The 18,616-nt window shown below is 36.1% G+C and overlaps 1 protein-coding gene across 16 annotated transcripts in view; it reads left to right on the top strand.

The window, feature by feature from the left end:
* The window catches only part of UGGT2 (UDP-glucose glycoprotein glucosyltransferase 2), a 251,822-nt gene that overhangs the window by 160,852 nt on the left and 72,354 nt on the right, over positions 1-18,616 (top strand). For 9 of the 16 annotated variants that reach the window (XM_011521097.2, XM_011521096.2, XM_011521094.2 and 6 more), the window contains 6 exons: positions 1,586-1,688; positions 4,579-4,658; positions 5,197-5,277; positions 7,870-8,059; positions 14,694-14,852; positions 15,186-15,271. In XM_011521097.2, coding sequence (XP_011519399.1) covers positions 1,586-1,688; positions 4,579-4,658; positions 5,197-5,277; positions 7,870-8,059; positions 14,694-14,852; positions 15,186-15,271 — 699 coding nt within the window. Of the gene's footprint in view, positions 1-1,585; positions 1,689-4,578; positions 4,659-5,156; positions 5,278-7,089; positions 7,273-7,869; positions 8,060-14,693; positions 14,853-15,185; positions 15,272-18,616 lie in introns of those variants that run through there. The other 7 variants (XM_047430471.1, NM_020121.4, XM_017020662.2 and 4 more) reach the window with 3 other exon arrangements.

Below are 18,616 nucleotides of genomic sequence, written 5' to 3'. Positions count from 1 at the left end.
GATTAACTGTGTATACCTAAGCAGTTCTTCACCCTTTTTTTTCTGACATGGACTTTAATAATTAATTAACTGTCACTGTGCTTGACAGTATTCTTCTGGCTAATGACATGAAGTGTATCAATAGTTTTTTGGCAATTGAGTACAAATCTGTTACCTTAAATAGGTGGTAGTTAGCATCTTGTTGTTAATATTGCATGAGAAATAGGATGTTCTGTTCTATTCTTGGGTTAGTCAGTGTACTATCTACTAGTGGGCTCAGGATTCTACTCAGAACTGTCTTGTACATGTATAATCAGATGGTGGGGACTATGGAATTCTGCTTCATACAACTTCATAGAATTAGCAGTCTGGGAGAAAAAAGCAGCAGTAAACAGGTGCATGCTGAAACCATAATTACATCTCATACAGCATACATAAAATGACCAGTTTTGAGTGGTGTTACAAAGTAGGGTAGTAATTTGTAAAGTGTTCACCAAGGTAACTACAGGAAGCAACAATTGTCAAGAGTCACTTTAATAGCAGAACGTCTGATTTGTGGCTCTTAGGTCTAGCAATAATTATCCATTAAGGTCTGTTGTCTGACTATGCCCCTCTTATTTTAAGATAATTAAATCGTCAACTGCCTAGAAAATAAAATGTCTTGCAGTTTTCTATTTAGATGACCCATATTTGAAGTAAGTGTTTATATTAGCTTTTTAAAAATTGCTGAGCAATTAATCCCCTCACTGCAGAAGCCTTTTCCTACCAAAGAAACTAATATTCCTGTAACTACACATGTACCTCTTGATTTGGTAACCTTTTTCCTTTGTAATATGTAAAATGTATAATTAATTCATCCTACATCTGAGAAAAATATTTCCTACATGATTATAGTGTTAAAACAGTAATTCAGTAACATATTCTCTGCTTTTAATCAAATATACATGATTAACTTTTAATTATATTAAATGTAGAATTGACTGTCTCCCTCTGGCCTGTTCTGTACTTTTAATCATTTTCTCATTTCCCTTTAAAAAACTAGTCCATCTTCTAATTTAGAACTTTTATCGGTGAAAGATAAAAACGGATAGGACAGAGGGAATGAGGTGAGGAGAGGAAGACTGGGATCAAAATAAAGTATGATTAATTTGGATATTTTTGTTCCTGAACTTACCTGTTATAGTATATTGATTTTTTGAAATACTAAATTTAATAAAGTATGAATAGTTAATTTTATTCTCAAATCTAAAGAAATATATTCCACTAACACAAAAGCATCTTAGCTTTATTTTTTAAATTGTACAATCCATGAGAATGTTGAGGGCCTAAAATTATCAGAGTTTTTACACTAATGGGATCATTCTTTGAAAGGCTTTTAAAAAATCATTTCATTCATAAAACCTTACTTCATTTTCTCTCATTCTTTTCAGTTTTGTAATTTGTTGAAAACAGATTTTCAGATTTGCAAGCATTGTGTGAAATAACCAGTATTTTACAATTTTAGTGAGAAAGAAAACAATTTATAAGAATTATATAGCTAAGATCATGATTAGTTGTTTGTATAAACTTAACACGTCATCTTTCATCTTATTTTCTATTTTCTTAGTGTTATAAAGACGAATCCTCAAGAGAATGATATGTTCTTCAATGTCATTGCTATTGTTGATCCATTAACAAGAGAAGCACAGAAAATGGCACAGTTGTTGGTTGTAAGATAATATAAATTAGACTAAATGTTTTTGTTTTTAAATTCATAATTTTTTCAAGTCTGTTTTCAAATATAATCAGCTGTTTATGCTCTTGATCCTTCACCATTTTAATAGAGTGTCATATTTCAATGTAGAAAATGAAATGATGGAGCTGTGCACAGGGTGTTGTTATGACTGTGCTGAGGTTAGGTGTTGCTGTGAACTGCATTGTATTCCCCACAAAATTCATATTTCAACACATGAAATAGGTCTCAGTGAACTTTAAGCCCTAACTCCCAATGTGACTCTCTCTGGAGATAGGGCTTTAAGGGGATCATTAAGGTTAAATGAGGTTATATGGGTGAGACCCTGATCCAATAGGATTGGTGGCCTTAAAAGATGAACAGAGGGAGACTTCACAAAGAAGAGGTTATTTGAGCACACAGTGACATGTTAGCCCCGTGCAAACTAGAAAGAGAGCTCTCTCCAGAAACCAAATCAGCTGGCATCTTGATCTTGGAATTCCCAGCCTCCAGAACTATGAGAAAATAAATTTCTATTGTTTAAACCACTCCATCTGTGGTGTTTTGTTATATTAGCCTGAGAAGACTAATACAGGTGTCTTTCATATGTTGTGAAGTGTGGCTTTTGGAGAAGCTGAAGCTTAAGCTTAATTGGATAAAACTTAAAGTGTAATAAATAATAAATAATGTTAGCCAAACAAGTGAAGCCGAGGAAAGGGGAAACATGGAGTTTGTATTCTATAGGTTTGGCCGCTATAACAAAGGCCAAAATAACACTACTTTCAAGACTGAAGTTTCTTTCTTTCATCTCCTGGTCTAAGTGTAGGCTGCCTTGGGGTTGCTAAGGCAGCTACACAGTGTGAGGGACTCAGGCACTGCCTGTGTCATTGTTGAGCTGTCACGAAGCACCTAAGATCACCAGTCAGGCCCTAACATCATCTCTGCACTTCTGCCAGGAGGAAGGGGAGAATAAGAGCACAGCCCCAAAGTTAGATGTATGCTGTCCTATCACTTCTCACTGACCAGAATGTCCGCAGGCTGGCTACACTGAATGACAAGGGAGGCTGGAAACTATGCCCACAAGTCCTGCATTAACCTGGAAATTCTTTCCCTGTGAAAGAGGAAAATGAATGCGAAGAGACAGATATCAGTCTCCAAAAGGACTTATGTGGCTTACCATTTTACTTAGAATGTCAAACATTCAAATTAGAATGCAGCCTTCAGTAGTTAAATTTGAATAAGCTAGTCCCATTAGAAGGCTGTATGTTTTGCTACTGATATCGAAAATTTTACAAACTATTTGTCCTTTGGTAGTCAACTTCACTTTTGAAACAGGCAAAAGTAATTAGATATTGAGTCTGGTGAAAATGTAAGTGATCAAGCCATATGATTCGCTGTATATCAAAATTTCAAAATGCAATTTTTTTTAGAATTTAGTGCGCACTGCCAAATCTCATTGGAAAATGAGATTTTATTAGTGGAGACAAATAATTTTGGAAAGACTTTGTCATTCTAGCTGTTCAGTTTATGAAACGAGTAGGACAAACCATAGCTGATTTACCTACTTGTTCTTTTAGCATTGGTTATACCTTCAAATTTATATGTCTTGAGATACACTATTCAGATTATTCTTTAGAAAGCAATCATATCTGAAAGGAGTGGAGCTAGTATGATGCTTTTTAGTATGCAAAATCCCTATTCCTATGAAGAGTCATTATTCAAAAAACACTACTTAAATTTGTAAGTTTTTTATATAAAAGTAGAATTTAGGAGTAAGAAATACGGAATTAGCCAAAGCAGGAAGATCACTTGAGAAATTCAAGACCAGCCTGGGCAACATAGCAAGACCCTGTCTCTAAAAAAATAAAAAATAAATTAGTCAAACATGATGCTGCATACTTCTAGTCATAGTTACTACTCAGGAGGCTGAGGTGGGAGAATTGGTTGAGCCCAGGAATTTGAAGTTAACAGTGACCTATGATCACACCACTGCAGTCTAGCCTTGGCAACAGAGCAGGACTATGTCTCTTAAAAAAAAAAAAGGAATTATACAGAGATATAAAATATGGAATTGCATTCCAGTTTCCATCATTGGTAATAATAGCATACTTTATTTCTTACTTTATAAAAGGATAATTTATTGGAAGAAATGGATAGTTTCTCATCTAACACTTGAGAAAAACAGTGGTTCAGTGACCTCCAGAGTAGCAGATATGATGAGTGATAGAATAAGAATTGAAAGTCAAATCTCTTAAATCCTTAGTCTTTATGTTCTAATTTCTCATCAAGCCTGTATCCTTTCTATTACATATATCTGTTTCGTTACTTCTCCCTTTACCTATATCATTTGTTATCTAACAGCTTTAGAATCTTCACTGACATGTTGCCTATGTGGAGATGGGGACTATCAAAATTAGTAATTCTTCCTCTACTTCTTACTATCCAGGGAAATGAAAAGAAAGTATTTATTCGTAGGTAGCCAAGAACTTCCAAATCCCAAAAGAATCAGGACACCACCAACGTTGTTGTAAGGTCACCACTTTGTATTTGCAGATCAAGGTTCTAGTAATTATTTTCCTTGTTCTTCAATACTAAGGAAATTTAGATACTATGAAAAAAAGTCACTTTAGGCAAAGGGCAAGCAGCATAACCCTGGGACATTGAAATCAACTGTTTGGATTAAAATCTTGCCTGTGCTGTGAGTTTCTGTGTGACCTTAATCTCTCTGTACCTAAACTGCAAAAGTACTATTTCAGCAGGGCGTTGTAAGGATCAAGTGAGATAATGAACATAAAGTTTTAATATAGTACCTGGTACATAGTAAATACATAATAAATATTAGCTATTAATATTATTTAATATCAAACATGGGAATTTCTTTCCAATAGGTACTTGGCAAGATTATCAACATGAAGATAAAGTTGTTCATGAACTGTAGGGGCAGGCTTTCAGAAGCCCCTTTAGAAAGGTAAATCTGAGTGAACAAAATTTCATTTTGAAAAATTTGTAAATGCTGAGAAGAAAAAAACAATCATTGTTACTGGACCTGGTTTTTTCTTTTCTTCACAAGATGCTTCAAAGAAATAAGTCAGAAGGTCAGACTATTTACTAACCTTAACTGACTTAAAATTGATATAAAAATTAAAATAACCTAACTCAGCAAAGTGATCTGACCTAATTACAGAATTTACATGGATTTATATTTATTCATAGGTATTTTTGGAAATGTGATTTAGGAATACCTATTTAGATATACATCAATGGGAAATAAGGTGGAATTAAACCATTTTTGGTTTAGCAGAATTACCAAAATGATCTTTATTATATCATCACATTTACTATTTGGGGGCATTAGGATAAAATTAGCTTAGAATAACCTGCCAGAGATATAAAAAAGTGTTGTTTATAATTATATACAAATATTCCTCATTAACACTCTTCTGTTGAAATAACATTCTCTCTCAAGAGGGGACAAAAATATACCCTTTCTCTTCTTTGTGGATCAGAATCACTGTCATTCATTATGAGCCATTCTTATTGATGGGAATATTCAGTTCTCCTTCATGTGTCATTGGGCAGAAAACAGGGTATGTACCATTGCACTAGTATAGCTTTTTAAGACTTTTTAATGTGCTCATCTCTGTATTATTTAATGATGTAATTCTAAACAAAAAATGTATGCATACACACACAAGACAGGTAGCATTCTGTTCATTCCTTGTTTACTTTTCAAATTGTATTTGTTACAACTGACATACTATAGATGTTGCCTTGAGCAGAACTTTTTTTTATTTTTATTTTTATTTTTTTTGGAGACAGGTTCTCACTCCCATTGTCCAGGCTGGGGCACCATCACAGTTCACTGTAGCCTCGACTTCTCAGGCTCAGGTGATTTTCCCACCTCAGCCTCCTGAGTAACTGGGACTACAGGTACGTGCCACCACGCACAGTTTTTTTGTTTTGTTTTGTTTTGTATTTTTGTAGAGACGGGGTCTTGCCATGTTCTCCAGGCTGGTTTTGAACTCCTGGCCTCAAGAGATACACCTGCCTTGCTCTCTCAAAGTGCTGGGATTATAGGCATGAGCCACTGTGCCCAGCCAGAGCAGGCATTTTAAACCTAAGTATTTTTAATAGTTGGAAAGCAATAAAATGGAAAATGTGGGAAATTTAAGTGAAAGTTTAGGACTTATTCATTGTCCCTCAAGACTCTTGTCCATATATCTCATTGAGTTTTTATGCTTCTCATTTATCTTTTGTATTTTAAATTTTATCACATGCCTTTTTACATCTGAACAAAAACTTTAAATTTTTTAGCTACTAATTGAAAGGTTTGTTAGTTCCATAAGTACAGAATTTTTATTCACAGGAGTAGGGGTCCTCTCTGTAAAACATCACATTATGTAATAAAGAATAGGATTACTGAACATATAAGCAAGCATAATCTACTGGGAGGGAAAGAATTGACTTTTCTAAATGAAATAATGTACTAGAGTATACAGTTATTTTTTTAACTAGTAGTTCAACAGAATCTTATTAACTCAGTAGCATATATCAAGCAACCTAGCATACACATTTATTCCCAGCCCTTTCCTTTTAGTAAATTTATTCTTCTCAGAGATGAGACAGGTTAAGGGCAGGAATCCCCTCAGCTTCTTACTCTTAACTGCTATACTTCCTCAGCCTTCCTGTATTGTAGGGAAGGAATGAGGCATCTTTCTTCTTTTTTAGTTAAACATTCCCACTCTGTTTTGATCTCATGCTTTCCTGTTTGTTCTGGATCCTTGCTATATCACATATTCTCTCTTGTGGATCTTTAATCTCTATACTAGCTTTTTTCATTCAGTCCTTAAAGTTATTCAATTTTTTTAAAAGTTGCTCCCTTAACTTTCTCTCCTCTAGAGTCTTTTTTTTCCCTCTTCTTCATTCCTTCTTAACTAAATTTCTTCAAAGAATGGTCAGACTCTGTCTTCATATCTCATTCACTGTACCTTCCACTGCAGTTTCTCTTTAACTTTCTCTTTGCCACTGAAATTGTATTTACCAAATCACAAAGAAATTGCTACTCACTACATTCAGAGAATACTTTTTCTTTGATATTTCCACTGCAGCAAGAATTTGTTTTGAACATTTACTTCATGACTGTATTCTCTCCTGTTTCTCCTCTTTTTATTTTCTTTGTCTATCTGCATAACATGGCTCCCAGTGATCACCACTGCCTGGGACTCACACTCTGAAAGTTCTCCTGGAGTGAGAGCTAGACCTAGTGATTTGGCTCTCATAAAACAAAATATGGCTAAAGTGATGGAATTTCCCTTCTGCAATTAGGTTATGAAAGACTGTGACTTTTGTCTTGCTGACATTCTCTCTCTGTGGCTCTTCTGTGTGCTTCTCTTTTGAAGCATATTGGAGATGCCTTTTTGGGAAGTAACTGCAAGCAGTCTGCAGACAACTACCAGCAAGGAACTGCGGTCCTCATTCAGACAGCCCTTGGGGAACTAGAAGAACCTGGAAGTAGATCCTACCCTTGTTGAGCCTTGAGAGAACTACAGCACAGCTGACACCTTGACTGCAGTCTCAAAATAGTAAAAGCCACTAGCCTTGATAGCATAACATAATAATTCTGTGCACAATATTGAAGGATGAGGTTAAAATACAGCAAAACTGAAGTTAAGTCTAAAAGTGCTATTAAGCAGTTGCTTTCAACTTAATCCTATTTGTTTTTAGTTGAGCTTTTAAAAGTGGTACTAGAATTTCAGCTTGAATTTCATTTGTTTCCTACCATTTCTCTTCATATTATTAGTGGTGGTAAAAGTTAATAAAATAGCTGAAAAATAGACCATGGTCAGATTTGAAGGAGGATGCATACAAATCATAATACAATAACAGATCATAAACTCCTAGAACCTGCATAAGTCAGGTATATCTTAAAGGGATTCTAATCATGTTCATTAAGGAATAGTTAACAATGGTAGATAATATACATAGACTTAGATAGTAGTGTCAACAAATAATGATTGTCTATTTCTCATAAGCATTAACTTTTCTGCAGTATAATGCATCTTAGTCTTTTTGATTGTAGACTTCTGGTCAGATCATTAAGCAATTTTCAATTTTGAAAATATTTTAAAAGAAAAATCTCAGTTTTGGTCACATTATGTATTTTTATGTTTTATTAACAGCTTTTACCGTTTTGTTCTGGAACCAGAACTGATGTCAGGGGCTAATGACGTTTCTTCTCTTGGACCAGTGGCAAAATTTTTGGATATTCCTGAATCACCCCTCCTAATCCTCAACATGATTACTCCAGAAGGCTGGTTGGTTGAAACAGTGCACAGCAACTGTGACCTTGATAATATTCACTTAAAGGATGTAAGTTATTGTGTATAGTCATATAAAGAGAGAGAAACAGGATAAATTCTTATCAGCTATTACAATTGTAGCAAGTGAGCAATCATACTATGAATGTTTACCAGAATATTCTTTTTTATGATTCTAGGTCCTGATCCAATCTTTCCTTTGATTTTTAAGTTTTTCTAATTTCCAAACTCAGCTTCTCTAGTCTTCCAAGTTCCTAGGTGTCTTTACATTTTTTCTTTCTTTCTTTTTGCCTGAGACTACTAGCTTGCAAAGACATTTCTCTAAGATGAGCAGTGTCAAAAATATAGAGAGGAACACCTGGCAACTTAGTACAACACCATTAAGTACTTATTTTGCTCTTCAAGTTTAGTTTTTAACTCAGCAAATTTCACCCAAAATTGTTTTGTTGTTGTTGGTTTTTTTTTTTTTTTTTTTTTGGCCTCACAGCTCATAGCCAGAGAAAGTAGTCCTAACTAAATTAGGGTAGAAAGTAGGAAACAAAATTTGCGGTATACTACAGGCCAGGTATACCTGCTTCTCATCACCCCCGGTATGACCCTTGTCTAGTGAGTAGTCAGACTTCTCTTCCTCAGCTGTTGTAATTCACAGCACAGAAAGAAAGTATTAAACTGAGTCTTTTAAACGTTGAATCTAGAATGAGAAAAGGAATTCAGAAACCACAAAAAAGGGAAGCGTTTTGGAAGAATTTAAGATACGTGTGGTAGTCTGTTTTCACACTGCTATAAAGAACTGTCTGAGACTGGCTAATTTAAATGGAAAAGAGGCTTAATTAACTCACAGTTTCGCATGGCTAGGGAGGCCTCCAGAAGCAATCATGGCATCACGGTGGAAGGGGAAGCCAGGCACATCTCACATGACAGCAGGAGTGTGAGGGGAGTGCCACACACTTTAACACCATCAGACCTCATGAGTATTCACTACCATGAGAACAGCAAGGGGGAAATCTGCCCCCATGATCCAATCACCTCCCACCAGGCCCCTCCCCTGACGTGGGGATTACAATTAGACATGAGATTTGGGTGGGTACACAGAGCCAAACCATATCACTTGGTATCCAGAAAATGAGGAAAAAATACTTCCTTCTCCTTATTGTCCTTACTTCCTTCTCCTTATTGTCCTCCCTCTGACCTATTTCCAGCTCTTTGTGTCTGATACCTCCTGTAGAATATAGCCATTGCCTTGACTGAAGCATAAACATTTACCTGTAATAATTTGGTTAAGATTGTTTATAATGTTTATTTCTCATGCTTCTTATGCATTATCTTTTGCCTAAAGATTTTCCTTCTAGGAAAGTTTATTTTGATCGGCTCGTATGTGGATTCTGTGGGATCCTAAATCACTTTTCTGTAACATACTCCCCATCACTCCCAACTGGACCCACCTCAAAAAAGAACCTAAAACTCAGTCATAACCATCTTCTAATATCAGTCCTTCAAATTTAGAGAAAAGGCAGCAAACTAATAGCATTAATGAGAAAAACTTAACAAATGAATCTTATAAGAAGTGAAAAAAAAAATCGCTGTTTTTTCCATGATCAGTCAGATCTCTTAATAGAGTCTGGAATTCTTCATGAAGAGAGTGCGGCAATATACTCAATAAGGTAACTTTTAAACATGCTATCCAAAACTGTGAAGTGTTTGTAGTGGGAGAAATTAGTACAGCTTAAGAAAGATTTTAAATTGAATCTGCTGGTGAAAATTTCAGCAGCTATTCAACAGCTGATGGAGATTAACTAAAACTTTTTTTTGTAGTGAGTGTCAAATCTAATAGCGTCTTTTTAGAAGTTGTTCGGATGAACACTAGCTCTAACTCTGAAGTTAGAAGACTAGGATGAAGGAAAATTTCCTGTGTCTTCATAGTTTAGGTGAATAAACAAAAGGAGATTATAAATTCTAGCATCTGTAAAAGTTAACTACCCCTCAGGCTCATCTTTTTCATTGTGTGCTATACAAACTTAAAATATTCTGCAACCATCCTGGAAAAATAACAAAGGCATTTGGTATAGTAGAAAGGATTTTTAGATAAAGGGGAAAAGTACATACACTCTGGCAAAAATGAGATAACAATGAGAGATTTACCACCATATACTAACTTGTACAAATATTCCTGGTTACACCTAATTCCCAAACACTGTACAAACACCTGGAAGAAACTTGATCTGGGAAAATTCTCCCTTGGCAGGACTTTGTTCACATGATTGTCACTACATTGACATTATTGCACAACCAGCATTAATTTCATAATTAAAGGTGACAAAAATGATTAAGAAAGCTAGGCCGGGCATGGTGGCTCACGCCTGTAATCCCAGCACTTTGGCAGGCCAACGTGGGTGGATCATGAGGTCAGGAGTTTGAGGCCAGCCTGACCAACATGGTGAAACCTCCATCTCTACTAAAAATAGAAAAATTAGCCGGGCATGGTGACACGTGCCTGTAATACCAGCTACTCAGGAGGCTGAGGCAGGAGAATTGCTTGAATCCGGGAGGTAGAGGTTGCAGTGAGCCAAGACTGTGCCATGGCACTCCATCCTGGGTGACGGAGCGAGATTCTGTCTAAAAAAAAAAAAAAGCTAAAAGTGAGACAGTTACTTTTACCTGGAGTTCAGATGTGTTGCTCTTCTCAGTGCTTATTGTTAGAACTGCATCAAAAGACTCTCTAATTATATTTCATCACAGCATATATATGAAAGATGTCAAAATACCTGGAATAACAATGGTGGTTACACCATTTTCACACTGTTCCAGGTATTGCCATAAAAGGCAAGAGAAGATGCAATAAATAAAAGATTGCTAACAGGAATAGGATGTGGCTCTGTTAAAGTGAATTCACAGAAAAATGCATTAATCCCTCTGAAACATAAATAATTTTGATATCAGTTTTATTTATTGATATATTCATTACAAATATAATTGTGAAAGAATTTGTTTGATTGCCAGAGGTATGCTATAGATCCTAAATAATACTGTATTATGAATTAGATGAACACTGTTCATCTTAGGCTCAGTTTATTCTCTCAGTGCATAATATATGAAATTTATGTCTCAAACCATCAAACACTTACAAAATTTGGGAAAAGGTCACATTTGCAGCGAAGAGTTCTGTCTCTTCTGCAAAACTTAGAAATTTAAACAAAACCTTAACAAACTTGAAAATTTATATATCAGAAGACTTGTACTTTAGAAGTCTCCCTTAATCCACAAGGGATTTGTTCTAAGATACCCCCACCCACTCAGTGGATACCTGAAACCATACATAGTACCTAACCTTTTATACATTGTTTTGTTTTGTTTTGACATGGAGTCTTGCTCTGTTGCCCAGACTGGAGTGCAGTGGCGTGATCTCGGCTCATTGCCAGCTCTGGCTCACTGCAAGCTCAGCCTCCCGGGTTCATGCCATTCTCCTGTCCCAGCCCCCCGAGTAGCTAGGACTGCAGGCGCCCGCTGCCACGCCCGGCTGATTCTTTGTATTTTTAGTAGAGACGGGGTTTCACCGTCTTAGCCAGGATGGTCTTGATCTCCTGACCTTGTGATCCACCCACCTCGGCCTCCCAAAGTGCTGGGATTACAGGCGTGAGCCACTGCACTCGGCCATGTTTTGTTTTTTTATATACATACCTACCTATGATAAGAGTTAATTCATAAATTAATTAAGCACAGTAGAGATTAACCTTAGTAACTAATAATAAATAGAACAATTATAAAAGTAGGTCATCATCTTCTACTCTTGTGCTTTGGGGTCACTAAGTGACATAAGGGTTCCTTGAACACAAGCACTGTCATGCGAGATTTTATTACAATACTCAGAACAGTGCACAGTTTAAAACTTATGAATTGTTTATTTCTGGAATTTTCCACTTATTTTTGGACCATGGTTGACTGAGGATAACAAACTGTACAAAGAGAAACCACAGATAAAGGAAGACTACACTACCTTATGTGCCTCAAACCACCAAATTATCTAAAACTAATTCCTTTAACTTTTTCTTGGATTTTTGCCCAGAGTCCTGAATAGTTTCTTAAAGTTCAGATTGCACTAAAGTCTTTAAGTTCAGCCTTCACCTGCCTTGAGATAAGATGCAAGAAAAAGATGTACTATCATTTATCCATCTCCACTATCAGATAGCTTGTCAGAGTTTAGATTACAGATCAAGATATGTGTTATAGCTTTGCTATTAATAACTTGGGAAAATGTGTCTGCAGTTACACAAAATCACATTCAATAGCAACAAAAATACTAGATTAACATATTTACAGACAATTGTTAACAAACCCAAATGTTGATCTTTATAATTAAACTTAGCCTTTTCTTAAAGGAAGACACTTAGCTATTCAGCCACAGAAGAACAGTACAATTAATATCCTATTAGAAAAATTAATATGTTCCATGGACACAGGGAAAGGAACATCACACACCCGGGGCCTGTCACGGGGCCAGAGGGCTAGGGGAAGGGATAGCATTAGGAGAAATACCTAATGTAGATGGCAGGTTGATGGGTACAGCAAACCACCACGGCATGTGTGTACCTATGTAACAAACCTGCTCATTCTGCACATGTACCCCAGAATTTAAAGTATAATAAAAAAAAATTAATACATTCTCAAGGTTATATTTGAAAGGTATTAAATTTATGTCTGGTATCAACAATTAATATTTAAAACAGAAAATAAAAATATAAAGGGAAGATGGAAACATAAGCATCAAAAAAGATCACTAACTTTCATATTTTTGCTAAAAATGAGCTTTGTGGCCAGGCACAGTGGCTCACACCTATAATCTAAGCACTTTGGGAGGCCAAGATGGGCGGATCACTTGAAGTCAGGAGTTTGAGGCCAGCCTGGCCCACATGGTGAAACCCCGTCTCTACTAAAAGTACAAAAAATTAGCTCAGAGTGGTGGCCTATGCCTGTAATCCTAGCTACTCGGGAGACTGAGGTGGGAGAATCGCTTAAGCCCGGGAGGCGGATGTTGCAGTGAGCCGAGATCGTGCCACTGTACTCCAGCCTGGGCAACAGAGTGAGACCCTGTCTCAAACAAACAAACAAATAAATAAATAAATGAGCTTTGAAAATAGGAACTAATTTAACTTAAATCACCTCTATGAAAACTTAAAATATTCACTAGAAAGAACTCTTTGGAAAAGGAATTGGCTATGTTTGTATGTTGTGGTTTGAATAAGTCAACAGAATTGAAGTCTGTTATATAAATATATAGGAACAAGAGAAATTTTCACATTAATATAAATTAAGAAGATACTGTTATTCACAAACTGGGTAAGTGTATTTAGACTCTTCCCTAGTATCTAATTCATAATAAAATAATTAAGCTTTACTTTACAGTCACTTTGGTGTATTGCTTCCTTGTCTGTAAAGTGAGGGTGTTGAACTACATGATCTCTACAATCTTTTTCTAATTTTTAACATTCTCATATTATTCTGAGACTATCCCATGAAAATCTTTCCAGTCAAGTAAATTGCTATAAAGACTCTGGATATAGGTTAATAAATTATATAAAGTTTATCGCTAGAATAGTAATTCAACAACTAATTCAGAATTCAACTAAAGTTTTTTAAATAAATACTGTCTTCAAAGAAGTTACTTATTTTTTGTTCTTAAAACCAGTAAAATAACAAGAATCAAGAAAGAAATGCTGTAAACAAATGTTGTAATTATTTCTGAGATAATTGCAGTCAAGGAAAACAACTATACAATACAGAATGTATCCAAATAGTCTATATCCTAAACACACTAAACAATAGTGTTGAAAACCTAATATGGTGAAATAAGATTAGATATAGGTAACATTGCTGTCTTTAATCTCAACAGAATTCTGTCTGTGAAAATCACTGTTTGATTTATTTTCATGTTTAGTTATGCTGTTCATATGAAGTAGAGAAAAAGCTTTATCTTGAAAATATTTATTATAACATTTGCAATAGAGAAAAATCCAGAAACAACTGGAATGTCCAGCCATTTAAAATGATATTTATAGAGACAGAGACATGTTCTTAGAAAACCATGTTTAATGAAAAGGCAGGTTACTTTCTTACAAAAAAAATTTATGAAGACAAGAAATAGAAATCAGTGTGTTGATGTTTATATCAGTGTTTATTCTGTTGAGGTGCGTTCTGTTTTTTCTTCTTTCCACTTTGGAAGTGGAAAACGAATTTTTATTTTTTAAAATTAACTTTAAAAATATATCGATCAATTTATAATTAGTTGATTATAGACATTAATTTTTTTAATTACAAGAAAGCCAATAGATAGTAAGTTAGCTTTCTTGCCAAGTCTGAAGTGGGAGCTTCAGGACAACAGCAAACTGAAGCAGATTCTTTAAGGAATTTCCCATCTAAATCTCATGTTCACGTCTTTCCTGCTTGGTTATATTGGTGCATATACCATGAGGTTCAGGTAAAGCTGATGTCATGAAAAAGAAAAAGTTTATCATAAGCTTTTTGTCTTGAAGAAATCAGTTCAACTCATGAATTCACTCATGTGTAAAATAAAGACTTAAAGTTAGCCACCAAAATACATTGGCCAATATTAAAATAATCACATTTATTTATTTCAAAATTTTGTATTATGAGTTTTACATAACACCAAAAACAATGACATACTTCCTCCACAGACTGAGAAAACTGTTACAGCAGAATATGAACTAGAATACTTACTACTGGAAGGACAATGCTTTGATAAAGTGACAGAACAGCCTCCTCGGGGTCTGCAGTTCACACTAGGCACAAAAAATAAACCTGCTGTGGTTGATACAATAGTGATGGCACATCATGTAAGTATTATTTAATTGATGGTGTTTAATTTGATGTTTTGGTGAATTCTCTGTTTTCCTAAGAGTAAAATGAAATAATCTTTATTCTGCTGTTGCTGAACAGTTTGCAGAAAACAAAATTGAATCTTTGAATAAGATAAATAAAAAATGGGGAAAATCATACTTTAATAATTTTTGACAGGTTATTGTAAAATCTCTTTACTTGGAATTGATTTATAGAATTTATTCATTCTACAGTTAATAAATACTTTCTTAGATCATTCGTGTATTCATGAGCAATTCGATGGTTTTTAGTCATATTACTCAATGATTATTTTTTTCTCATCTTAAAAGGGGTATTTTCAATTAAAAGCAAACCCAGGTGCTTGGATACTGAGGTTACACCAAGGAAAATCTGAAGATATTTATCAAATAGTTGGGTGAGTTATGCAGGCTGCTTTTAAATTTTTACACATAAATACGTTTTTAGTGTAATACAACCAAGAGAATCAAAACAACAATTAAAATGTTAAGATTGGCCTGGCGCAGTGGCTCAAGCCTGTAATCCCAACACTTTGGTAGGCCGAGGCAGGCAGATCACAAGGCCAGGAGTTCAAGACCTGCCTGGCCAACATGGCAAAACCCCATCTGTACTAAAAATACAAAAATTTGCCAGACATGGTGGCGCACACCTGTAACTTCAGCTATTCAGGAGACTGAGGCCCAAGAATTGCTTGAATCTTCGGGAGGCGGAGGTTGCAGTGAGCAGACTGCACCACTGCACTCCAGCCCAGGACAGAGAGCAAGACTCTGTCTCAAAAAAAAAAAAAAAAAAAAAAAAAAAGATGACTGAGTTAGGTCTGAACATCAGCAAGAGGGCAAAACAGGACATTCCGGTGCTCATACCCATGCAGAAACATCAATTTGAACAACTATCCACTCCACACATGAAACTACCTTAATAAAAACTAAGGAACGAGGTAAGCTGTTACAGCACTGCAGTGTAGCACAGAAATAAGAAAGACACATTGAAGAGTGTAGGATAATTTACATTACATGCATTACTCCTTCCTCAACCTGATACAGCACAGCTGGAGAGATACCCCCTTGGGGGAAGTAGAGGGAAGTGAGCAGCAGACTTTGCCTTGGACCCCAAAACCATGCTCACCCCAGTAAAACCCAAAGCCAGGTAGGCCTCACAGCCCCAACTTAATGCTGGTACCAGAAGACTGAGCTGCCAGATCCTGTAGCCCCAAGCTCCAAATCTGCCTGGTAGATTCAGTTTCCAAGCCTGTCCAACCACCAGGCCTACCCCACCACCAGGCCTACCCCAGAAGCCCCAGGCTATTGCCCAGCCTCAATGCCAGGCCAGCCCCCACAAATTCAGGCTCTTAGACTTTTCCCTGTACCAGCATAATTGATATTTTGATCATTTAATGACAATATGGTATACATTATATCTTATATAACAACACCGTTATCCCTGGGTTATATTCAATTTGGAATTGTTTTTTTGCACAAAAATTTTCCTGTTCTTCAGTGAGCCATAGTAGAAAGCAGGAGTTATCACACTTTTTTGGTAAGGAGCCAAAAGTAAGTATTTAATGTTCATTTGAGAGCACATGTGGTCTTTGTCAAAATTATTTTTTTAACAATTATTTTAAAGTGTAAAAATCATTTTTAGCTTAGGGCTATTAAAAAAATAGACCATAAACCTGATTTGGTTTACTGGCCATAGTTTGCCAACTCTTGATAAAGTCTTTTTTATACCCTTAATAAATATCTCTAGATTTCATTGCTTTCAATAAATACTTACTGAGCACCTTTTATTATACCACACGTTGTGCTCAACAAAGATAATATAGGAGTAGGGGTTACTGTATCTTTTTTTCACCACTCTTTCCCCTTTATACTGTGCCTAGCTCATAGTGTCAGTTAATAGATGTGCTTGATGGCTTATGCACACAGAGCCAGGGATGCTTAGTTCTGTGGTAGAGGTGGGTAGGAGGAAGTCAGCATTGACATTAGAGATGATATAGTACCTCAAGAAAATTGAAGAATTAATAGGAAGTTATTAGTCATACCACAGACGGAACATTCCAGGAAGAGGGTAGACATGCACATCTCCCATCTAAAACTCTTAGGGCCATATGTGTTTTAGAATTTAGAAGTTTTTCGTTTGGAAAGTTAATACAGTACACATATCATATATTATGACGTATATCCCAGCAGGATCTGAGAAAGCCCTTTATTAAACATCATTTGTATTGCAGAATGCGTTAATATTCACACTAAAAGGGTTTATGTAAATGACTGAAAAAGAGAATGAAAAGACAATCCACAGACTGGGAGAAAATCTTTGCAAAGCATATATCTGACAAAGAATTTATATACAGAATATATAAAGACTATCAGAACTCAATATTAGAACAAATAACCAGATTAAGAAAATGTGCAAAAGACTTGAACAGACACTCTACCAAAGAAGATATATGGATAAGTACAGAATGTATTTAACATTGTTAGTCATTAAGAAAATCTACATTAAAACCACGAGATATGCCACATATCTATTAAAATGACTAACTTTATAAAAAGAATGACGATATCAAGTGTTGGTGAGGATATGGAGTAACAGGAGCTGTTTTTCACTTCCATTGGGTATCTAGAATGGTACAACCACTTTTGAACAATTGGACAGTTCCTAGAAACGTTAAATTTACACTTAGGCTAGGCATGGTAGTTCACACATGTAATCCTAGCACTTTGGGAGGCCAAGGTGGGAGGACTGCTTGAGCCCAGGAGTTTGAGACCAGCCTGGGCAATATAGCAAGACCTACCTCTATGTAAAATCAAAAAAGTAGGCAGGCACAGTAGCTCACACCTGTAGTCCTAGTTACTTGGGAGGCTGAGGTGGGAGGATCAGTTGACCCCACGAGGTGGCAACTGCAGTGAGCCATGGTCATGCCACTGCACTCCAGGCTGGGCAACAGAGTGAGACCCTGTCTCAAAATAAGAAGGAGGAGGAGAAGGAAGGGGATGGGGAGGAAGGGGAGAAAAGGGGAGAAGAAGAATTTGCTTTCTGTGGTTTCAGTCGCCCATGGTTAACCACAGTCCAAAAATATTAAGTGGGAAATTCCAGAAATAAACAAATCCTACATTTTAAATTATGCACTGCTGAGTAGTGTGATGACCTCTCACACCATCCTGCTCTGTTCCACCTGGAAAATCATTCCTTTGTCAGGTGTCTGCCCATGAGTCACTTAGTAGCATTCTCAGTTATGAGATCAACTGTCATGGGATCACAGTGCTTATATTCAGGTAACCCTCGTTTTACTTAATAATGACCACAAAAGGCAAGAGTATTGTGCCTAACTTTAAATTAAACCTTATCATAGACATGTATGTATAGGAAAAACATACATTTAGGGTTCGGTACTATCCATGGTTTCATACATCCACTGGATGTCTTCGAACCTATACCCTGTGGATAAGTGGGGGTTGCTGTACTACTGCATGTCTCCTTTTATAAGTTACAAAACACTAGATAATACAAGCTATAGTGACAGAAATCACTTGGTGAGGTGGAATAAGCAGACAAAAATAAGGACAAGTATTGGAGATAAGCGGTTGAACAATGCTGTTTTGAGAACCCCCAGCCAAATTGAGTTCCAGTACTGGAGTGGCTAGTGACCTTGCCCTAATGAAGAATGAAAGGCAGCTGGATGTGAATGTTTACTGTGTGCCTTTCATGGGATACTTCGTTTACCTGGTGGATGGTCTAA

This window comes from Homo sapiens, chromosome 13 (genome assembly GCF_000001405.40).
Source record: "Homo sapiens chromosome 13, GRCh38.p14 Primary Assembly".
NCBI classification, from domain to species: domain Eukaryota; kingdom Metazoa; phylum Chordata; class Mammalia; order Primates; family Hominidae; genus Homo; species Homo sapiens.
This window is presented reverse-complemented; position numbering and strand designations above follow the sequence as displayed.